The sequence below is a fragment of the Homo sapiens genome, chromosome 20, assembly GCF_000001405.40.
Source record: "Homo sapiens chromosome 20, GRCh38.p14 Primary Assembly".
NCBI lineage: Eukaryota > Metazoa > Chordata > Mammalia > Primates > Hominidae > Homo > Homo sapiens.
The window spans coordinates 39,773,434-39,798,888 of record NC_000020.11 but is presented as its reverse complement, the minus strand read 5'-3'; the positions used below and the strand labels follow the sequence as shown (position 1 = coordinate 39,798,888).

The 25,455-nt window shown below is 39.8% G+C and overlaps 2 long non-coding RNA genes across 3 annotated transcripts in view; one reads left to right on the top strand and one right to left on the bottom strand.

The window, feature by feature from the left end:
* LOC105372614 (uncharacterized) overlaps positions 1-25,455 on the bottom strand; it is a 58,827-nt gene that overhangs the window by 17,140 nt on the left and 16,232 nt on the right. The window lies entirely within an intron of this gene.
* Positions 10,606-17,989, top strand: LOC105372613 (uncharacterized). The gene is made up of 3 exons (XR_936713.3): positions 10,606-10,684; positions 11,499-11,610; positions 13,048-17,989. It is a non-coding gene; the product is annotated as an uncharacterized LOC105372613 (long non-coding RNA).

Sequence of the window (25,455 nt, the reverse complement as noted above, 5' to 3'; positions counted from 1 at the left end):
GAAAACAGATGGGCAAGTCACCATAAAGACATAAATGTAGCTGAGCAAACTACAGAGTGTTATAAGGGCATGGAGGATAGGATATAATTTCTAGAAGTAAAAGAGAATAAAAATTGTCTAGGAAAGACAGTAAGTTTGAGTTAAGCAAATTCATTGTCTTCCTAGCCTTTAATAAATTATTTAGGCTCATAATTCTGAAAAGTCAAGTCAGTTGTTCTGTGTTGATACAAGAAAGGCTTTCGTTCATAGAACAATTTGTCTAAACCATCCACACATTCATCCATCCATTAACATGGCTGTAATACTGTAATATAATGAGAAATATATATTTGGTCTCTGCCTCCAGTTCATAGCACGGAACTCCTAAAACCCTTGTCATTTCCTGAGTAATAAGAGTCTTTTCTGTTCTGAGGCATCTCTTGGTGTGCTCTTGGATAGTGACTGGGCACCAGGAAGACCAAGCCATCATTATGAGCTTGGAGCTTTCAGCTCCACTCCCTTCCTCTGAGAAAGGGAGTGGAGCTGCAGATTTAGTTAATAATATACTATGCCTAACATGATGAAGCCTACGTAAAATCCCCAAGCTATAGGAGAGCTTCTGTATGGCTGAAAGCATGGAGATTTCCTGGAGGAAGTTCAATGCCTATTCTTTCTTCATCTGGGTGTTTATTTGCATCCTTTGTAATACCTCTTCTAAGAAATCAATGAGTGTAAATAAAGCACTTTCCTGAGTTCTGTGAGCCACTCTAGCAAATGATGGAAGCCGAGGAGAGAGTTGTGGAAATCTCCCCTGTATAGCTAGTCAGCCTGATGTTCCTGAGGCCTGAGTTTGTTATTGGCATCTGAAGTTTGGTCGGGGGTGGGGGGGTCAGAGCAGTCCTGTGGGACTGATCCCTTAACCTATGGGATCTGAGTCTAACTAAATGTAGATAGTCAGAATTTAATTAAATTTCGGGACACCTAGTGGGTGTTCTGCCAGAGGATTAATGTGTGGGTAAAAATTTACATGTTTGATGTTAGAAGTGTTCTGTGTACTGCGTTGAGTATGAGAGTAAGAAACATGATTTGTTTTTTCCTATCTCACACAACGGTCATCTCTCTACCCTTGACTTCTCTAGAGTGTCAGCACAAATTAAACAGTTTTACTCTTTGTACTCAAGCTACAGTTACACTGAGCATCTCTGTTTGCTCACAAAGATCCAAGTACTTTTTATACCCCCCTGTTAATTGCTTTGAGGATCACCAGAGGGACAAGATTCCATGAATGGATCCTCAGCCTTATTTAAATTTATTCTGACAAATCCAGAAATGTATCCACTTCTCTCTAGGTAGGCAGAAGTAGATACCTGCTAGGTATTGAGGCAGGTGTTTATGTAAGTAGAGGAAAGAGTTTCCAATCACTTCCATTGACTGCACTGAGGTAAGGGGATATTAGTAGCTCTGGCTATTGGAGCAAGGGATGGATTCTCAGGGGCCAAGGAAGAAGTGAGATTTTGGCAGCTGACAAGGAAGTCTTCCCAAGGTGATGGTACCTGGGCCAGAATAGGAAGCCCCTGGCAAGTTTGAGCTACTGAGAATTCAAAATATCTTCTTATCCTCAACTCCAATAATGCTATTTCACCTCTTCCAGAATCATTGGCTTTGACTGAATTAGTAAATTAATTGACTTCTGAATTCACATCATACATGACCTGGCAAACAAGATTTGGAATCCAAATAGAATCAGATTCTTCCTGATTCTTCCTGACCGATCTCCAGTCAGTTCCAGGATGAGACCCTTCAATCCCATCACTGGGGCCTTCCATAAACATTTATCTATGACGAAGTTGTGAGTGCTTTCATCTGACATGGCATCCATGTTGTACTTAAAACTAAATTCCTAAGAAAATGTTCCTCTTTACTCATTCAGTATCTATTCACTCAATAAGAACTGACTGAATGTCTCTGAAGAACCAGGGGCCAATTGCGAACCTATTGACATGTCATCATAGCTGAAAAAAAGCTGAATTGAAAGTCAGAAGGTCTAGTATGTGCTCCACTTATGTCACCATGTATGTATAGGTAAATGGCTTCTCCTCTCTGGCCTTTGGTTATTTCAGCAGTAAAGTGAGAATGCTTTAACAATCTCCTTAGTACCTTCCAGCATTGTAGTGTCAATAGCCAGGACTAATTGTCCACCTGAAACCTCAAAGGATTATGACTGTACACTGAAAAACTCATTCAAGGACACACATACTAATGATGAGAGGGGATAGACACTGTTGCAAGATTACTTAGTACAAGTAGGAGTGTGATTTCCCCAAAGGTAGGGAAAGAGTCTCACAAAGGAGGTTATAAAAAAGATAAGCTTTGAGATAAAATAGAACCTGACCATGTCAGAAAGAAGGGAGGATCTTCTCAGATGAGAAAGTGATTGTCTCTTCTAATACCTGGACAGGACAGGTGCAGACGAAAGTGAAAAATGGGAATGAAACATCTACCAGAGTTTCCTTGCAATGAATGAATTTAGCCTTTAAAAAATTTACAAGGGAAACTTGTGAAATACCCATTCTTTATAAAGCAAATGACATTTTCATTGACTTGGGAAAAAGACTGAGACATGACTTGTAAGATATTTCCCAGGTCTAAGACGCCATGATAAAACTCATCAAGCAATCATGTTGTTTAATACCAGACTCACTGTTCCAGAGGGAGAAGTATTTTCTTTGAAGACACTTAGAATGTTTAGACATTTGATCTGTCTCCTTTTCCAAATGTGACAAGATTTTGAGTTATTGCCTCATGAAGGAACTGGAAAACACCCTGAGATGCTGTTTATTTCTCAACTGCTTTGCTGGAAGCTGCTGTTTTAAATTCTAAACAGCTTAGTAAAACTTTCCAACAATTTCAGCGTTTTCTAAATTCGAGAGGCCATCTTTACAGCTTTTGAAGAAAGTCCAGGAGTATTGTCACTAAGCAATTTCAGGCAGAAACCTAATTTTAACAGATGAAATAATAACAAGTGGAGTGATGTCATTTAATATTCCCTAACAACTCAGTGTGCATGTGACTAACACCCCATTACCTCACCAGCTGATTCAGAGAGATAGGTTTACATTATACAGGAAGGTCCATCCAAATGTCTATCTCAGCCACTTTGCCTTCAGTCAATGGAGAAACTGACTGATTCAGATAATGCATTGAACTCAAGACTGTGAGTATTTAGGGGTCCATATGGTTTTGGTCTAGGATAGTGGGAGGAAGTCAGTGAGCAAAAGCATGGTGGTAGGCTTACATCTGTGGCCTTTACTTCCTTAAAACCAAGTGTTTGCCAGACAGACCTGGAGCCAAGCCAAAGGCTTCCCAATGCTTGTGGCAACATCACTTCATTCTCACCACCATCCAAAGTAGACAGGATGGTTTCCATTTTTTTTTTTTTTTTTTTTCAAAAGAAACCAAGGTTCAGAGAGGTGAAATGACTTGCCTTAAGCTCACTTCTTGCAGAGCTGGGATATGAGCCGAGGTCAAACTCCAAAGTTCTTCTAGAAACCCATGCTGCCACACTTTAGAGAGTGGCTGTCCTTTGCCTGGGCTCAGGTTGAGACCTTGTCTCTTTCAAACCTGATTTCCACTCCTCCCCTCCCCTCTAGTCACCCCTACTACTCTCCTTGGCTGTTGGCAACAGACTCATCTCCTTCCATTTCAGGCCATAGCTTATGTACCTGTCCACTCTTTCTTGGCCTCATGATATGACATGTCTAGAAAGCAGAAATGCAAGTAAGCTTTTAATGGCTGATCTTGGCAACAGATCCATCACAGAATCAGTCCAGAAGCAGCCCATGCAAATTAATAGCTGAAACAGACAGCCCAGCAGGGATTGACCAATGTGCTTGCTGAGGAGGATCTTGCTTTTCAGTAGACTTCTCCCTCCTGTTCCAAATGTCATTATTGGCACAGAAGGAAATGGGGTATAAAGGTTTGCATTGTGACTGAGATTTGGCAGGGCCTGAATTCCTTGAGTTAAATATTCAGATGCCCCAGAATTCCCCTCCTGTTGCAGAGCTGATGGTTCTTTTCCTCTATATTAAAGGCCATATTAGGCACCTGGTAATACTGTACACCACTATAGGGGAATAGAACGATCTTTCCCTTTTTCCTGTTCATAGGAGACAGTGCAGGTGCTCACGAAACTTCTGCCATAACATCAGCCATGTTTTTGCTGTCCCCAGTGTATGAGATATAAACCCTTAAGCCCAATAAAAAGTATTTAACAAACACCTCCATCTCCCTCGCCCGTGCCATCATAGCCAATCCATTGTATATAAAGCCCTGTGGATTTTACCTCCCAAATTTCTCTTGAATCCACCTACTCTTCCCCATTTTCATTGTCATTGACCTATTTCCAACCATCATTATCTATATACTGGTTGGCACAATTATCTGCTAGTTGGTCTCTTTGCCTTTACTCAGCTCCTGCAATGATCCATTCATTGCCCAGTGAGCTTCTCAAAATGAACATTCTCATTTTGCCTTCTTGATTTTGGCATTTTGATTATTCCACATTGATGTCAATATAAAAAAGAAGTAAACCCAGTAATGTGGCCTGCCTGGACCCACAATGTACAAGCTCTGCCTACCCTTCTGACTATCAGACACTGCACTTGTCCACACTCCCTTAGAACCAGGCACACCGCCCACCAAACTGTCTCTGACTCCAAGCCTTTGCATATACTCTTCCCTCTGCCTGGAATAACTTCTGCACTTTGGTGAGTTCTCAGCTCAAATACCACTTCCTCAGAGAAGCCTCCCCCAACTCCACACCACTGGCCATGTCATGTTCCCCATTCTGTTTACTCCTTATACTTTGAGTCTCTCTTTCTTTGTAGCCATGACAGTTATAGTTTTAATTCTTATTGTGATTATTTCTTTGATTTTTTGTTTCCCTTGCCAAGCAGTTAACTTTTGAGTTTAGAAACACTTTTTTTTTCTAACTATTGAATTCCTTGTGCTGTGGAAGATTGTGAGATGTCTTACAAAATTAATCTCTTCAAGTTACTTTTAAATGTTTGTTTGCATAAATCAATGCAAAGAAGACTCTCAAAAGTGTTGCTAGCTTAATACCACTGTTCTCACAGACAGACTTGGTTAATTACAAGCTTAGGGAAGCCTTAGTCAATGGGCTAATTAATACAAGATAGATGAACACACTTCACCTCTTATGACAGCCATTGTTTCAATTGTAAGTGAATAAATGTAATTTTCTACAACAAACACTCCAGCAAATATAATTTTCAATGACTGACACTTAAGTCTGAAGGCTGTCAATATTCTTTGTAGATACATTAAAACAAATTCCTAAATGTTATAGGAAAGCTCTTTGTACATTTTAGTAAACTCAGTTAGACGAAAACATAGCATTGACAGGATACAGACTAAGTATAGATTTAACTTCAAATAAAGATGCACTGATATGTAAATATTTTTTAATCTTCTTTCTTATCTTTCTTAAAACATGTAAAGCAGCATGTTGGATTCTCAAAACATTTGTGTATCAACTACTTCCCTGAAATATCCTCCTTTCTATACTACTTAGACCTGTGGCATATGGGTTTTAACTATACTTTTGACAAATATTGAATAACTTCATTTGATGTTTTAATAATGTATGTCCACAGAGCCTAACATGGCATTGGCCACTTGGTTGGTGCTTAATAAATATGACTGAATGAATGAATGACCAACCAAGCTATGGAGTGACCTAGATGGGGCAGGATGAGATAGGGTTCTGCATTGATTTCCATGCCTTTCCTCTGGTGCAGTTTCTCAATGTGGCACTATTGACATTTGGGGCTGGCTAAGACTTTTCTGTGTGAGGGGCTGACCTCTGTGTTATAGAATGTCTAGCAGCTCCCCTAGCCTCCACTCACTTGATGCTAGTAGCACCCGCCACCCCAGTGGTGGCAAAACATGTCTCCAGGCATTGCCAAATGTTCTCTGGGGCTCATTTGAGACCACTTATCTAGAGCTGTAGATGAATAGTAATTACATGGGCAATGCTCACAAATTTCTCAAAGTGGTGAAGAATAAGAGGATAGAATATATTCATGACCTGTCCTCTTGGCACAGTGGAAAATTCAGAGACTTTGGAGTGAGAAAGACTCCCGTTTGTATCCTAGATCTGCCTACCTATGTCCTGGCTATGTGATACTAGGCAACTTACTCAACCATCCAAAGCTCTCTGTCTATAAAATAGAGAGAACAGTAGGATGGTTATAAAAAGTACATGAGCCAATACACATGAAGCAATTACAGTATCTGATGCAAAGTAAGTACTCAATAGGCCAGTGGTTACTGTCAGTGTTATTGCTGATATTACTGCCAGCTACCTCCACCCTGCCTTCCTTGCTTGAAAGCTGTTGTGCTCCACCCTTTCCCAATCTCTTCCTCTGACTGACTCCTAGAGCCATCATATATATGCTTTCTGGAACATTTTATGTTACTTTCCTGAGCATTTAACAATAAGGCTGTACAATAATATGCCAGCTTTGGTGCCCTGGAACACTGTTGTCTTACCTCTGGTCATCGCTTCTGACAAAGAGCTGTGTCTTCAGTGTGCCGTCTCTTGCTAAGAGGTCTTATTGTAACAGGCATCCTCAGCCTTGGCTCAGGACACAGCAATTCAGTATAGGCAGCAGGCTGCAGATGTCATTGAGCCAAGTGCTTTTCTCCCCAAACACTGTACAGCCAGGTTGCTTGATTACTGTCATTTGCACAGAGGTGTAGGCATGAAGAAAATTCACAGAATAAGCTCAGAATGTCACAGGCTAGGGGAAGAGAATTTCCTTCAATGAAGGTTCTCAATGGATTGGAGATGCAGAGAACAGAGACAGGCAACTTAATCCAGCCTGATCCAGGGTATCCTGCTGTCTGTACAGTCTCTGCGCTTCTCCAGCTCTGACTGGAAGCTGCGCTGGCTCCTCTCTACTGAAACATCTCATGGGAATGAAGGAAGCATCCTAGGATAAAAAACCTAAAACCTGTAGGTACTTACAGGTACCAGAATGGTAAATAGCTGCCACATCCCTCTGTCATCAAAATCTGAAGCATCTTTGAATGATACATTAAATCCACATAGGTTTTTTTTTTAATTTTGATTTTTTTATTTCAATAGGTTTTTGGGAAACAGGTGGCATTTGGTTACTGAGTTCTTTAGTGGTGATTTATGAGATTTTGGTGCACTCATCACCTGAGCAGTGTACACTGTACCCAATGTGTAGTCTTTTATCCGTCACCACCCCCTGCCCTTTCCCCCACGGGTCCTCAAACACTAATGTATCATTCTTATACCTTTGCATTTTCATAGCTTAACTCCCACATGTGAGTGAGAACATACAATCACATAGATTGTTTTGCTTATGATTTTTCATTTTGTCTGTTTAAAGAGTGGGACTGTCACATTTCTCATTGCTTTTCTAAACCAAACTTAACTTAAGCTTACAGATGAGTCGCATTATTTCCTCTTTATCTCATGTGCTAAATGTGGTGGGCCTGCTTTCATTTAGAATTCACTAATTCATAATTTGTGAGTGTGGAACAGAAACAGGGTTTAGGTTGACCTCAGGTCTACGTGAGAAATGTTTTTTGGGAAATTGATATTTTGGCAAGCATATGTAAATAAATAAGTATAAATTGCTTCCATTCTGCTGAAGACACTATTTACATACAATAAATAGGAAATTATCTTTGTGTATTAAAGGAAGCTGTCCAACAGAAATATAATGAAAGTCACATATGTACTTTTATTTATTTATTTATTTATTTATTTTTGAAACAGAGTCTCGCTCAGTTGCCTAAGCTATAGCGCAGTGGCATGATCTTGGCTCACTGCAACCTCCGCCTCCCAGGAACAAGTGAGCACATCCTGTTAATTTTTGCATTTTTAGTAGAGACGGGGTTTCACCATGTTGGCGAGGCTGGTCTCGAACTCCTGACCTCAAGTGATCCTCCCACCTTGCCCTTACAGTGCTGGGATTACAGGCATGAGCCACCACACCTGGCTGAATATGTAATTTTAAATGTTATGGTGGCCGTATTTAAAAAGTGAAAAGTGAATACAATTAATTATAGTAGCATCGTTTATAATTATAGTAGCATCATTTATTTAACCCAATATAGGCAAAATATTATGTCAACAAGAAACCAATACAAAAATTATCAATGACACATTTTCTGTTATTTTTCTCAAACTCCTTCTTTGAAATCTGGTGTGCGTTTTACACTTACAGCAGATTTCAATTCAGACTAGAGACATTTCAAGTGCTTGCTAGCCACATATGACTGGTGACTACAACACTGGATGGTCCAATGCTAGAAGACTTCATCCCTTTTCCCTTCTTCCTCTGTTCTTCCTGTTCATGAAGTCATCAGCATTATAGAACTTTGTGTTGCTATTGTTTATTTACAAAGATAATATTTACAAAGATAACAAATATTCACTCTAGTACGTTATCTTCTTTGTCTAGAATCCCCACTGGGAATTAGCTATTATGTGTATTGGTTCACATTTTCCAACTCCAAAATACAAGGTCAGGGGCTGTCAAGTTCAAGTGAAAACGAAATTTTAAGACTGAATTTTTGAACAGAAACACATCATGGAAATTCTGGAACATTCAGTTAACTGCTATATGGCCTTTAGGGTTTACAGAGTAGAAGCTGAAGGTCTGCCACACTGAGTTTTAGCAAAGCTTTGAACATATACAGCCTGAAATTTTGGCCTACTTGGTCTTGCATTTCAGGAGCTCTGTGTACGGAGGCCACTCACAAGCCCAGCATCGTTGTCCACACTGGCCCATCAGATCAAAGCACTAACCTGTTTTGAAGGAGCAGATGCATGAGCACCCAGAAATCGAGCAACACAGAGCTTAATTGTGTGCCCTTGGCAAAGCCCATGAAAATATTTAATTCATGAAATGTATTTTTGTGAATTTGATTCCATTTGCAACTTTCTTGTTGACCACTGTATAGAGGTAACTAAACCACAGAAAATAAAAAAGTCTTCATGTGAAAACTCAGCCTTCTGAGATAAAACTGGTCTTCAATCAATCATTTCCAATAATGAGGAAGATTCATGTGTACTAATAGGGTAAGGTGCTTGAGATATCATCAGGAAGAGCTTCACTTGTATTCACTGAACCTTCTTAACAGTCCTAGGGCTTGGGTACCGCAGTTTCATTTTAGAGATGAGGAAACCAAGACATAGAAAGATTGAGTCAAAGACCCAAGGGCACACAGCTGGCCAGCATTAGAATCAGAATGTGGTTTGGCAACTCAGTGACGGTAACCTGATTCTGGTGTTCTCACACCACCCAAAGGCCTGTGGGCAGCAGGTGCCTGCACCCTGAATCCTCAACACAACAGTCCCTTGAATTAGGCAAGATGCGGTTTTTTTAAGGGAATAAAATTTCTGCTCCATCCTACCTGAGGATAGGTGGTAGCCAGAGTTGACAATCTACTAAAGTTGCCTACAAAATAAGGCTGTCAACTTGTTGAAGTGCAAGCCAGGAAGAACAGAATGCCCAGGGAAGGCCAAAGTGGGTGTTTTCAGCACATTGTCACCATTCTAATGACTACAAGTTTTGTTTTAAAGAGAATTTGGGCTGCAAAAAGTGTTACTGCCAACAGGCTGCAATTTTAATGATCTAGCTTTAATTGTGAAAATGAATCTTATGCTTATGAGAAGTGTGGAATCCATCAACAGACTGAGTGAATTATCTTGAGTGCTGCCTGTCTAATCGTGTTGCTTGTCTGTAATCTGCTTAGTATTGAATTATTTTTTAAAAATGTAATTATCATTTCTATTGTTATTATTATCCCTATAGGTCTTCAGGTTACAAACAATAACAAACACCACCAAAGGTAATGACTGATAATGAATTATTAAAGTCTTTTTCCTGTTCTTAACTAATTTCATAATGTTATCCTTAGAAACATCACCAGTCATCACATATCAGCCCTGAGTGAATTTTGATGTAAAGTGTCTTATCCATCCTTTAATTCAGATATGCTTTTGAAAATTTAAAAACCAATGCAGTGAACAAATTTTAAAGATTATCTCTCCCCAAAGCATTTCCTCTTAAACTGTAAGATTTAGAAATTTGGGGAAAATAAAGTCAAGTTAGTCATTGTGATAACGTTACCTTCCCTCACCACTCCCTCCCTTTTTCTTGCTGAATGTAACAACTCTTATGCTTTGAAAATTCTCTGTTAAAGCAATTTTTTCAGAATAATGGATTTTTCTTTTGCACAAATCACTTGAGTTTAAGCACTTTGGCCTGTCTACAAGTACTCTGCAACCCCCCAATTGTTTCTTGATGAACCCATTATATTTCTATTTAACTCTAAGCAAATTGCTTCTTTCGCCACTCAAAGATGTATTTTATCAAAATATCTGGCTGCATCTGAAATACATCAGTATTGTGATTTGTTTGAGCATGTCATTTTCCTCTCTGTGCCTTTCTTTTCTAATTTGTAAAATGGGGATAATAATTCATATTCTGCAAAATTGCTGAGGCAATTATGGAAGATGATGGGTATGTTTAGCACAAATCACAAATGGTTTCTTTCTTTCACCAGGACAGGCTTCAGAAAAATGGAAAATTGATCTAACAAGGAAGAAGTATTATGAAGCAATGTTAAAAAGAAATTGGTAAATGCAATGGCAAATCTTTTAAAATTGCTCTAAAATGTAATAATTGTAATAATAACAATGCCTTATTTAGTGGACAGCAGATCATAGGGTAAATAAGATACTAGAAGCTGTAGCATGAAAATGGAAAGTGGGTAAAACCAAGTTAAAGAATTTTAAGGTTTTTTGGAAGCTAAGAAAGAGACAGGTTGCTTAATTTAAGACTTTGTTAAGATGATTATGCACATAAAAAAACTTTAATGATAACTACTAAAATAGTAGGCAATATATAACTTCCCGACAAAGAAAAACAAACACGAAAACATAAAATAAGCTGGATCATCTGAAGAGAAAACAGGAAATAGGATGGGGTGTGGAGTGAACAAAGAAAATACATGGTAAATAGAAAGCACAGAGGAGGCATGTTCAAATCTGTCAGACAAATACATTTTAAACATTTACCTATTACACATAAGTAAGTAATGTGTGTGGTAAATCTTAGAAATACATTTATACAGTCAGGAAAGACAAATAAGAATTGTAGAATACAAGTTACCTTTGGATTTGAGAAGAGATTGATTGAAAAAAACAAAAGCTTGAAGAAATGAAACTAGAAATTATTCTATCAATCAATCAGCTGGAAACATCAGGATGTAGAATTACATGACACCTGTCATCCCTTCGCTGATACTTTCAAGTTGGTTAACATGGGACCCAACAGACCCATAGGACAGAATTTTAGCCTTGCTTATGAGTAAAGTTCAGACCCATGTAGACATGTCTGATGGATTGCTTGGAACTGGCTTCTGGCTGACTATTAACATTCTACTTTAAGGTAATAATTGCCAACAGAGAAAACCCTTCAAAGAGAGTTGCTGCTTTTCCTAAGGGTTTCCAAGGATCCAAAAACCTTCGGAAGTTCCAAGGATCAAGTCCCAGGATCTAAGGTGAAACTTCATATTCTGCTCTTTTTAAAACTCATGTCTTTTTTCACTAAGGACCAGCTGTTGATCAGGCCCACAGGGCTTGACTCCTCTCTTTTATGTTGGAGAAGTTTGTTTTCCTTTTGCCCTTCATTATTGTTTGCTGAAATCTAGGTCCCAACCTCTCATCCACTATTCTAATTCCATGACTCTGACTCTGCCTTGAGGCCCACACCTCATTTCTGATAGCTGCCAATGACAGGGGTATTGGCTTTAGTTAGTGTCCCATTTTCCCTTTGTGATGTCCCACAAAATGCTACTCTCTAATTTGAGTCCATCTCAAACCCAAAAGTGTTCCAGGGCCAGGCAGACAGAATAACTGGGTGAAGCAGGCTGAGTGGAAGGGGTTGAGAGGTGGGCAGCTGGTAGTTCATCTTGGACAGATTTTTATCGTTAGTGAATAGGGCATGTGATATGGTTTGGCTGTGTCCCCACCCAAATCTCATCTTGAATTGTAGCTTCCATAATTCCCACATGTGGTAGGAAGGACCCAGTGAGAGATAACTGAATCATGGGGGCTGTGTCCCCCATACTGTTCTCTTGGTAGTGAGTAAGTCTCATGAGATCTGATGGTTTTATAAGGGATTTCCCCTTTGGCTTAGCCCTCATTTTCTCTCTTGTCTCCCTCCATGTAAGACATGCCTTTTGCCTTCTGCCATGATTGTGAGGCCTCCACAGCCACATGGAACTGTGAGTCCACTAAACCTCTTTTTCTTTATAAATTACTCAGACTTGGGTATGTCTTTATCAGCAGCTTAAAAATGGAATCATACAACATTAAATAAATGAGGGGGAGAGAAAAGTGGGGACACTGATTATCAAGATGGCTGAGATATCCCAAGAGGCTACAATCAACCTTTGACTTCTCTTGGGTATACGCCTAAGAGTGGGGTATACGCCTAAGAGTGAAATTGCTGAGTTATGTGGTTAACCCATGTTTAACATTTTATGGAACTGCCAGACTCTCTTCCAAAATAGCTGCACCATTTTATATTCCCATCAGCCATGTATGAGGGTTCCAATTTCTCTACATTCTCAGCAGCACTTGTTTGTCTGTCTTTTTTATTATAGCCATCCTCGTGGGTGTGAAGGGGTATCTCACTGTGGTTTTGATTTGCATTTCCTTAATGACTAGTGATGCTGAATGTTTTTTTCATGTGCCCAATGGCTAATGTAAGCTTTTTAATATTGGATATAGATGTTTTCTATGAAAAGGGACATTTCTTTCCTCAGGGGGCCCACATGTCTGCCCAGGGGTATGACGTTCATTCAAAGCTTTGAGACTCACCAGTTACTCATTTCCATACTTACAGGCTGGAAAGGACAGATTCCCAAGCAAGAGGCAGAAGGCCAGAGATTTATGCCTCGTTCTCTCTTTTCTCCCTTTCCTGTCAAATGCAGCTGGACCTTTCCTGGAACAAATTCCTTCAGACAAATTCTCCACCAGACCATCAACTCAGGAGGGCAAACAAGGAACTTGTTTTCAAGAGCTGGAGCCAAACCACCCAGAGTTTCCTGTGCCAGGTGAGCATGAAGAGGGGCCGAAGTCACCCATTACTAACCCCTCACCCATGACTGCCTGAAAGGTATGTCTCAGGCTTTAACCATGAAACCTGTTTCCTCTCTCCCCTCCAAAGTCCAGCCCAGAGAGGCATGATAAAATCACTTAGCAAATGGAAAATATTTTGTGCTTATTCTAAGAAATGTGATCCATCAAAAATGAGCTGACAAGTCATTTCATTTCCAAGGACAGTGTCCACATACTCCAGGCAGCCTCTGGACCTGGAATAAGACACATCTAAGCCACAGGCCAGTAAGGACCATACAGCTATAACGTTATGAGTGATTCTGTAGCATGGTTTTAAGGCACCAGCTGCACAGTCAGACTGCCTGGTTTCAGCCCAGCTCCCTCATTTGCTAGCTGTGAAAACTGGGTGAATTGCTTAAGCAACCCTTAATGACATTTTGTTGTTTTAAAAACGGCAATAATAATAATACTCCCTTCTTCATATGATTGTTTTGAGATTTGGATAAGGCAATAGGTGCTTTATTCGATAAGGACCCTAGAACATACAAATCTATTTTAAAAATGCTATTAATATGGTTTTGCCCTAAAAAGGCAGGTTCTTCTGTTTCTCAAATCTGACAAAGTTTTGTCAGACTCTTGAATTCTCATTAATAGTTCCAACACAGACTATTAATGCTGTTAGTTTTGACCAAATACATGACTCATGAATTAACTAACTCTTACTTGGTAATCTGAAGGAATCAATAAAATCCACACTTAATTCCCCCTAAATCAACTGAACAACTATGGACTATGGAATTGGGGAGATCTGTCTAAATGGCAGCAATATCAACTACGAAAAATATTTATTTAGAGTCTGGGTAGGTACCAAGTTCAATGAACTGCTTAGAGAGTCTGTGTTGCTTTGGTGACTGTTCTAGGCAGTGCTAATTTTGCTACAATTTCCTTTCTTAAGTAAGTCACAACCAGAATAAAAACAAAGTTCTAGAAATCCCATATTTTTACAAACTGGATTGATGAAACCAGTTTTTAAAATATCAGAGGACCAGACTGAAAAAGAAACCAGGTGTAGCAAAAGGCAACTCTTCTGGAAACTGAAAATTCAAAGAAACATGGTAATCTCACTGTATTAATTTTCTTTTCCTCTTGTAACAAATTACCACAAGCTTAGTGGCTTAAAACAACACAAATTTATATCCTACAGTTTGTGGAGAAGTATGAAGTGGGTCTTCCAGGGCTAAAATCAGTGCTGGTAGAGAGGGGGTACAGAGAATCTGTTCCTATTCTTTTCAGCTTCTAGAGAAAGCCTGGGTTCCTTGGCTCAAAGTTTCTTCCAGCAGGGGCATCTCTCTGACCTCTGTTTCCACTGCCTCAGCTCCTACTCTCACTCGAACCCTCCTGCATCCCTCTTATAGGAACCCTTGTGATTACACTGAGCCTTCTCAATCAATGCAGGATAATCTTCTATCTATCTCAAGACCCGTAATGTAATCACATCTGCAAAGTCCCTTTTGCCATTTGAGGTAACAAATCCATAGGCTCCAAGAATTAAGATATGGACATCTTTTAGGGGACCATTCTTCTGACTACCATACTCCCCTAGCTGAAGAATTATTGTGTGAAACAGGGATAAAGGCAGAACTAATATAAATGAGTCAAAGTGGCCAGGAGGTGAAATTTGGCTCCAAACAGAAGAATCTCAATAATGATAAGAGGTGAGTGAAAAAGGACAGGAGCTTTTGAGGAGGATGTGGGCTCTTTATCACTAGGGCTGAGCCTCTCTTTCTAAACATTCACTCCCTCTGCCCATGTTGGGGTTTTGATTGCATGGCATTTGAGGGTCTTTCCAATTTTAAGCTTCCAGGTCTTTGAAAATTTGGAAGGTGTGTCAGTCAGTGTATAGGCTAGGCTATGCTGGGTAACAACCAATCCCCCAAATCTCAGTGATTTCAATCAACACATCCATTGTTGGACTGCATTAGCTCTGGTCGTTGTGGTCCTCTAGGGACTAAAGAGACACCACCACTGCAGACATAGCTAGCCACAGTGCCAGCAGGATAGAGAGTTCTGGAGGGTCTAGAAAGAGCAACTGATACCCTGGTCCACAAGGGTCACACAACACTTACACTAACAGCTCCTCAGTCAGAACTAGTCACAAGTCTCTGGCCAACTAAAAGGAAGACCAGGATAAAGAGCCAATCTGGAAGGCAAAGAAACAGAAATATTGACGAGTGCAAATAGTGACTGTGACAGGAAACAATTGACCCTCTCCATCAATCAATTCACAGATTTTAGTCATAAAAGGAGTCATAAAACTCTTTTGACCCCTAAAGAGTTTTTCTAAACAGGGTGACGGTCAATCGATTATCCTAGGCTCACTGATGCAACAAGATTGTCTTAAGCATGTTCTTCTTTCTTGATTTTAGCTCCATGGTTAGGGTTTCACTTTCAAAAGATTAATAATAAGGTGATAATGATGATGATAATGATGATGATGATGGTAATGCATGCTTTTTGAAAATCACAGTGTACTGAGCATTGTACTCAGCATTTTCCACATTTATTTTTTGAATCTCAGGCATAGAGGCATGAGTGAATCACACTTCTGATTTCATAGCATACTTCTATTGTAAGACTCATACAAAGACTCTCTCATGGTGTATTTTATTCATGTGTCCCCTCTCCTCATTTTATCAACCATAATGTCTTTGATATGATACCTTAATATTTTGTATATTTTTGCAAATTGTATAGTGTTGTTGTTATGTAGGTATTTTTAATTCTATAAAAGTATATTCATGTATACTGGTTCTGTTTATTTCTTCCTTACATTCGGATCTTACTGCATTTATGAGTATATGTCTCACGTAGTTAATGTCTTATAACAGTAACGTAATATTCCATACTGTGTGTCCATTATAGTTCCCTTAGCTTTTCCCCTGCAATGGAACATCTAGGTTGTCTAATGTTCCCTGATACTTTAAACCAGGGGTCAGCAAACATTTTTTATAAAGAGTGACACAGTAAATATATTTGGCTTTGGGGGTTCTGAAGTCTTGGTTTTAAGGATTTTGCTGCTGTTATACCATAAAAGCAGCCATAGACAGTGCACAAATACATGCCTGTGGACATATTTGGCCCATTGGTCATATTTGACAATCCCTAGTTCAAACACCATGGTGATGAATATCCTCTATGTGTTCCCTTATGAAATTGGGGCTAGATGTTCTCTCAAATATACTGTACAAACAAGAGTGAGATTGCAGCATCATAAGATATGCCCAAACATCATTAGACTAAGTATTTCTGGTTGCATCAGCCTGTTCTCTTAACAACAGTTAATAAAAATAAGAGCCCTCAGAAATAACGCCGCATATCTACAACTATCTGATCTTTGACAAACCTGAGAAAAACAAGCAATGGGGAAAGGATTCCCTATTTAATAAATGGTGCTGGGAAAACTGGCTAGCCATATGTAGAAAGCTGAAACTGGATCCCTTCCTTACACCTTATACAAAAATCAATTCAAGATGGATTAAAGACTTAAACATTAGACCTAAAACCATAAAAACCCTAGAAGAAAACCTAGGCATTACCATTCAGGACATAGGCATGGGCAAGGACTTCATGTCTAAAACACCAAAAGCAATGGAAACAAAAGCCAAAATTGACAAATGGGATCTAATTTAACTAAAGAGCTTCTGCACAGCAAAAGAAACTACCATCAGAGTGAACAGGCAACCTACAAAATGGGAGAAAATTTTCGCAACCTACTCATCTGACAAAGGGCTAATATCCAGACTCTACAATGAACTCAAACAAATTTACAAGGAAAAAACAAACAACCCCATCAAAAAGTGGGTGAAGGACATGAACAGACACTTCTCAAAAGAAGACATTTATGCAGCCAAAAAACACATGAAAAAATGCTCACCATCACTGGCCATCAGAGAAATGCAAATCAAAACCACAATGAGATACCATCTCACACCAGTTAGAATGGCAATCATTAAAAAGTCAGGAAACAACAGGTGCTGGAGAGGATGTGGAAAAATAGGAACACTTTTACACTGTTGGTGGGACTGTAAACTAGTTCAACCATTGTGGAAGTCAGTGTGGTGATTCCTCAGGGATCTAGAACTAGAAATACCATTTGACCCAGCCATCCCTTTACTGGGTATATACCCAAAGGACTATAAATCATGCTGCTATAAAGACACATGCACACGTATGTTTATTGCGGCACTATTCACAATAGCAAAGACTTGGAACCAACCCAACTGTCCAACAATGATAGACTGGATTAAGAAAATGTGGCACATATACACCATGGAATACTATGCAGCCATAAAAAATGATGAGTTCATGTCTTTGTAGGGACATGGATGAAATTGGAAATCATCATTCTCAGTAAACTAAACTATCGCAAGAACAAAAAACCAAACACCGCATATTCTCACTCATAGGTGGGAACTGAACAATGAGATCACATGGACACAGGAAGGGGAACATCACACTCTGGGGACTGTGGTGGGGTGGGGGGAGGGGGGAGGGATAGCATTGGGAGATATACCTAATGCTAGATGACGAGTTAGTGGGTGCAGCGCACCAGCATGGCACATGTATACATAAGTAACTAACCTGCACAATGTGCACATGTACCCTAAAACTTAAAGTATAATAATAAAAGAAAAAAAAGAAAATATTATGATCATCTTCTATAGAAGGAAAATTTTAGTATAAAATTTAAAGATGCTTACCACTAAATAAATATATTCTATAAAATTTAAAAAAATAAAAAATAAAAAGTAAAAGATTATTGTTTGCCCATATTCCTCCCAACATTATACAACTATTTTAGCTTTTGCCAATTTGATGGCATAAAGTAATATTGCATTTTTCCACTCATATTTCTGTTTACTAATGAGTTTCAGTATCTTTTTATTTATTTATTGGTCACTAGGACTACCTTGTCTGTGTATTGCCTACTCATACATTTTCCCTTCATTCTATTTCTATGACTTTTGGGTGTTTCTTATACATTATAGATATTCGTCCTTTGCTAATTTTAAAATTTGCAAATAACTTGCAAGTAATTTCTGCCAATCTGTCAACTGTTTATTAACCATGTCTATGGTATTTATGATCAGGGATTCTTAACTTTGACAACATATGATTTGTGATATTTGAGACTTTTTTAAGAAATCCTTCTGTGCTCCTAATCTTAATAATATTTTCTTTGTTTAAACTTCAAGTTTCATGTTTTACACTTTGGACTTTAATCCATCTGGACACCCTTTTATTTGTAGTAAAAGGATTTCCATTGTCATCCACGTGGTAAGTCAAATTTCTCAGCACCATCAGTTAAAACTTACAGATAAAATGTTATCCACTTATTTTTGTTGTCATCTTTTATATATATATATATATATATATATCACCTGCTCAGGTATGCATATAACTCCCTGAGAATGTTCCTTTCTGTTCCACTGATGTGTTTATTCATTTTGGGGGCCACTGCCATACTGTTTTCACTTCTATGACTTTGTAATATATCTTAACATTTAGTGCAGTACATTGCTCTTTTTTGTTCTTCTTTTCCAAAATTGACCTATTTATGGGCTTTTATATTTTTATATCATATACATTTGTGTGCATTTTTCTAGTCTCTAGATATTTTTAAATCTGTCTGAAATTTAGGTTGTCACTGCATTAAGTTCATAGTTTACTTTGAAGATAATTGGTAACTTTAAATATTAAGACATCTCATTCATAAGCATGGAATATCTTTAAAATTATCAGATGGTTTTTTATGTCCTTTATTAGAGTTTTGACACTTTCCCCCATAGGCTTTATATATTATTTGTTAAGACAATTCCTAGACATTTTAGAGTTCTCATTGCTATTTGAAATAGACTTTCTTTTTCTAGCTGATTTTTGCTGGTATAGTGACTTGCTATCGTTTTGTGGGTTTATTCTGTTTTTCTCATATTTGAATCCTCACCTTATGAGAATAGTACTGTTATCTCATTTTATAGGTGAAGAAGTTAAGAAATTTTCCCAAGATCATTTAGTTAATAAGGAGTGCAGCTAGTGTACAATGCAAATCAGTGTTTCCTATCGCAGGGAGTTTTGGTTGTGTGGAAGGGTAAATAGTGACTGTACACTTAAAACTCTCTTGTACTTGAAGAAGTGCTCAGTTTACAAAATGAAAACTCCACATGCAAATATTTTTCTTTGGCTATTCCTCTACTGACGCCTGCTGACTCCCAGGAACATGGCTAATGCAAGACATGCTGTCCATGGCCCTGCAAATAACAGTACAAAGAGAGAAAAAACACTTCCTTTCCCAATGGGCCATTCTAACACATTCTTCTACCAAGTTGAAACCGGCCCTGTCAAGGCAGCATGATGCTCTGAATAAGGCTTCCCCAGGCTCCCTGGTCGGCTGGCACCTCCTGTCATTTCCCTTGTCATTTTTGCTGAAGCCTAGCCCCAGCCCCCACATTAGCTCCCACTTGGAAGTCTCCTGTCTGGAGCCAGTGAGGTTTGTCTGCTTTCTTGGGTTTGGCTAATAAATTGGGATTGTGGGGTCAGGCAGCAGGGGAACTGGCACCCAGGGAGCCCCTGACACCAATTTTATTAGATTTCTCTTTGCAAGGCCCAGGATGCCATCCCAGCAGGGAGTCCACAGTTGCTCAGTAACCAAGATTTTGTCGTCTCTTGTTTGACAAGGTCATTTTTTACTAGAGGAGGAAAAATCCCACATTAATTATACAAGCAAACTGGGGCCAAGGCCATTAGAGCTGGCCTCCCTCTTCTGTGAGGTGGGGGGAGAAGAGGAGGTTGGTTTCCTCTGTAAGTGGAGAGGAGAGCTGGGAGAGGAGTCTGGACTTCTCAGACCCTCAGTCTCTGAACTGCATATGTGCTGTCTAATTCCTGGTACTCACTAGAATGTATGTTTATCTAAAATAGACTGCAAAGGGACTGAGCAAAGCAACATACAAAGTTATTCCCCACTCATTCATTCTGTCAATATGCTTTTATAAGTCACCTATTAGGCACCAAACACAGAGCTAGGCATTGAGAAAAAAATAGGAAAGAAACGTCATAGCTGCCTTCTTAGTGGTTTTCTCAGTATCGCATGAGGGCTGGTTCTCAATACCCCAGGATTATGCCAAAAAGGTGAGCACACCATCACTCTTTTTCTGAAAGTTGGAAAATGCTTCCATCCTCCTTGGTAAACTCTCATGCCAACTCAGTCCATCCTGAACCATCATGCCATCGTATCATTTTGACATATGATTGTTGTTTTCATTGAATAGGCCGGAGTAACTACGAATTTGAAGCCTACATTTGTTTTCTAAAAACATGATAACAACTGCTTGACTCATAAAGATGGAAACAGAAAATAGAGGCTTTTATTTCAGAGATGGTACTGCTTTGTCCGGGAATCACAGTGAAAGATTCAATTAATCTATGAGCATGTATATCAATGTTTATTGGAATGAAGTGGACAGGTTTCCTGTATCCCTTACCTACATATCTCCATTCACCATCTTACTCTATGATTTACTTTATAATTGGAGCCAGTCCCTCATCTTCCGTCTTCTTTCACAGCTCAGCTAGGCTTTCTGATCTGAAGTCTCTGGGAAGCTCGTGTTTTCCTGTGTGCAGATGCTCCAGTAGCTACAACCTTCACACACTGGTTGTCTTCCACCTCCTGAAAAATTTACCTTGATACACTAGATTACTTCATGTCTTCTCAATAAAAAAGCCTCTCTTCTGCCTGTTTCTATCTCCTGCTAGACTTCCTCCTCCTGAGGTGAAACTCATTATGTTTTGTACCACCTTCTCCTCCTGAATCTAAACCCATCATGTTTTCTACCACTTCCTCCTTCTGAGTCTAAACCCATCATGTTTTCTGTCACTGTTCCCAAAGCACTCTTGACACAGAGCAGTAAAACAGCACTGGCAAAGAGCATGTTCCCCACAGCATCTGCAGAAAAATGTTCCAGAACCTCAGTATGACACCATGGCTCTAGGATCTGAGTTTGTTTCCAAATTCTGCCACTTCTGAACTGGATGACAATTAGCAAGTAACTTAATCTCTCTGAATGTTTTAATCTTTATCTACAAAGTGTAGATGGAAATAAAACCTCTCATAAGGAGGCTGTGAGGCCTAAGTGAGATGTAAAATGGTGACTTATTGTCATCAATAGTATTGTTACACTAAAAAGCCCTCTTCCTCTCTTGCTTTCAGCAGATAACCTGAGAACCTGCATTTATACGAAGGTAAAGGCCATCTGGTATGAATGGAGCATCTCCGTCTTCTCTCATTCTCAATGTTCATGGAGGTATCCCCTCACTATCACAATTTCTCTACATTGTCACCATTTTTCTTTCTTCTGGCTTGGTATTTTTTTTCTTCTTTTTGCTTTAAGGCCTCCCCAGTTAGCTTCCTGTCTACATCTCCAGGTCTGCCTGGAACTCTTTTGTGAACATTCCATAAAGCCATTGCTCACACACTTCCCCAGCCTCAAATGTCACCTCACTCTCTTGCTTTCCTTAGTTATACTTTTCAATCCATTTGAATTCTTCCAAAAAGGCTTTGTCTGCTGAACCTTCCTGTATTATCCATCACTGTGTACCAAATTACCACAAATATAATGGACTAACACAACATGCATTTATCATCTTGTAATTTCTGTGGGTCAGCAACGAGGGCACAGTTTACATGGGCTGTCTGGTTCAGGGTGTCTCAAAGTATAACTGAAACCGTCAGCCAGGGTTGAGGTCTCATCTGAAGGCTGCACTGTGAAGGATCTGCTTCTAACCTCATGGAGTTGATGGCGAAACTCAGTTCTTTAATGGCTGTGGGGCTGAGAGCCTCAGTTTCTCCTTGGCTGTAGTCTGCCCTCATTTCCTTGCCAGGTAGGCCTTCCCAACATGGATGCTTGCTTCTTCAAAGCCAGTGAGAGTCTACTAACAAGATGGAATTCACAACTTTACATAACCTAACCATAGACGTGGCAGCCTATAAGTATTGCTGTATTGTATTGGCTAGAGGAAAGTCACAGGTTCTGCCCACACTCAAGGGGAGAAGGTTACATAATGACGTGAATACCAGGAGGTGGGGATCATAGTGCCCTCTTAGAAGCTGCCCACCATATCCTTTTTGTTAAATTATTTCCTTAATCCATAAGCTATTTTTAACTACTCCATAATAGCATATGGAAGAAACTGAAAGAGTGATAAGATACGGCCATTTCTCTTCAGTTATAAAGGAAATGGACAATGCAAGGAAGTATGAGGTAAAAATCTCTAAACTTGCTGCAAAGTGTTCATCCCCTCAGTTCAGAGGAGAGAGAGAAGACCTGAGGTTGGGGTTCTTGTGAAAAGCTTAATGAAGGCAGCAACATTGGAAACTGTAGGTGATACTTGGAGGACAGGCAGAACTCAAAAGAGCAAAATTGGTAGATAGGGAAGAGGCACATTCTAGGTGATGGCAAATCCAAGAGAGATGAAGGTGTAGGAGATGGGCAGAAAATAGAAACTATTAGATTGCTGCAAAAGTCATTGTGGTTTTTGACATTGAAATTAAAGGCAAAAACCACAATGACTTTTGCACCAACCTAATGGTTTACTGTACTATAAACCCCCATAAATAATGGAAAGCAAAGGTGAAAACAAGAACAGGTCAAAATGGGTGGCTGGAGATGCTGTGGCCATCAGAATCAGCCAGACAAAGACCAGGACTGTCTTATCTTCTCTATCCTGAGCTCTCAGTACAAGTGCTGGATACACCTGAACAAATAAACCAACTGGGAAATGCATTTTGAAATCAGGATTACTAACCAAGAGGATTGCAATTGTCCTGTAAGAGGGAATCACTGGGACAACATTGGGCCACTGCAAACTAAATCTGTGACTCAGTTTCCTATTCTGAAAGTGAGAAAAATAATAGAGCCTATCTGACAGGGTTATTGGAAGAACTGAATGAGGTAGGACTTTAAAAGTGTTTGGATAAGGCCTTACATGAAGTAAGTTCAAAATAGCTGTTAACTATTATTTATTATTGTTATTCATAATCTACTTCACCTGGGTTTGCCGTCTTTGGCTCACAGCCTGGAGTTTCTTTGCTGTTCTCTGTCTTTCCTGGCTCAGAAACACAGTGAGTTTCTCTTTCCTGCTGACCCTGGGATACCCCCCAAGGCTTCTCTGAAGGTCCTGCCTTTGTGCCTGAGTCTCTGCTTCTGATGTGGTTCTGCAGAAGCAAACTAGAGCATCCCCAGCCTCGTGGACACCTCCATGCTGAGCTCAGCGCTGAGCTTTGAGGGTGAGTGACTGACTCCCTGGTCGGCACTTTTATTGTGGTTTCCTGATTGGTTCAGGATGGCTGGGCCTTTGCTACCCCATCCCCAAGTGGATTTCCAGTCCTGCCAGAGGCCAAAAGGAGAGTGACTTAGTCATTAGCTCCTCTGGCAACAGCCTCTGGCAGCAGTTCAAGGCAGCTTAGAAAACAGGGCAACAAGTGGCTGCAATATGTATTTCAAAAGCCTAGCACACAAGAAAAGGAAATGAAAACCAGAAAAAGCAGGGATAGTAATGTCTGAACCTGGAGGCACATCCAGACATGATTGGGCATTGCAGACCATGCTCCCAGGCCCTGGAAGTAAGGGATATGGAAGGGTTGTACCAGTAAGGAGCTGGGTCTGAATGGCAAGGCTGAGGCCCAAAGCCTCTCTTCCCTTCTGACATGTGCAAGGCATTAATGAATGAAGACCCTTTGTGCATCCTAGAAAATGATGTCCAGGTACACCTGGCTTAGGGTTTGTGTCCAGAGCACAAGAAGGGTTCCCTATTCTGTGCCAGTCCCTTGCAGAATTCATCTGATTCAAGCATGTTCAGATTTAGGGCTTTGCTGACCAGAATCTTTAGAATTCAGCCTCTACCAGAGAATGGATACACAGGGAGCAATGATGAATAAGCGAGGGTCTCTTCCATCGATTCCATCTTAGGTCATCTAACTCTTACAACACAAAGTGGGTGTTTTTATTGACTCCATTTCACATATGTTGGTGGAAACTAAGGCACAGAGATGTTGCATAACTATTGAATTAATGTCTTTCTTATTTGTCTTCTGCCTATCTAATCAGAACAGAAGTTTCTTGAGGACTGAGACTGTCTTTCTTTTTCATCACTTTATTGCAGGTGTCTAAAACGGTCCCTGGAATGGATCAGATGCTTAAAAAAACAGACTTAATGAGTGAACTTTACCAAAGATCAGAGATTTTGAACAATGCACCCCCAACTCTTAGTATCTACACTAAGTGTTCTCTGATTGGGTGTGATCTGATGAAGATTGTAGTGTTGGCAGGGTCTGGGGCAAGAGAGGAGGGGGAATGTGGTACACGATCACATTTACCAGTTAACGCTCAACTTCAGGAGCTCATAAGAAAGCCTTTATAAAAAGTGAGATGATGGTGTTTACAGTTTGAATGTGGGAATGATCCATCCTTCCTTGAGGACATGACCTTCCTTGGGTTGATCTTAGAACTAAGGGAGATGGTTCCTGCCCATCACTCCAGCCTAATTTTGTACCACCATCACTTCCTGCCTGCCTGCCTTATTTTCCTTCTCATGTTCTAGTGTCAAAGATTTGGGTGGGTAAAGAATAAGATGTGGGGGTAAAATCTAAGCATATCAAAACAATAGTTACTGACTTCAGACACTCTTCTTTACCTCATGCTATTCTTTTTGCTTCCTCTAGAAAAAGGCCAATATTTGGGAGCCTCAAGCCCCTCCCAGTTGTGCTAAAAGGACTCCAACTTTACAGCCAACAACATTTATTGCAGGGAAAATGACTAATGGGAAATACAACTGAGGCCAAATCCTAAAAGCCAAAGCTGGTTCTCACTCAAGAAAAATAAACAAATCACATTAGGCAGGGCACAACCCTGAAAACAAACTTTCATGAGAAAGAAGTTGTCAGTGGGTAAATAGTATAAGGCCTCCTGCAATGAAAGCCTCATCTGATCTTCATAAGGGTTTGTCTTTCTCCGCAGAGAGGCTACCGAGTTCCATTCTCAGTGTCTAGATCTTGGGGTACACACATATGCCACCTAGAGGGCAGGGTGATCCTTCAAGAAAGGGAAACAGTGCTGCCTTCTCTACAAAGCTGGATGGTGGCATGGATCAGGTCTGAGAGCACATGAGGGGCCCTGAATTCTCCCAGCACTCTCTGTTGCAGGTGATGGAAATTCAACTCAGTGAAGCTG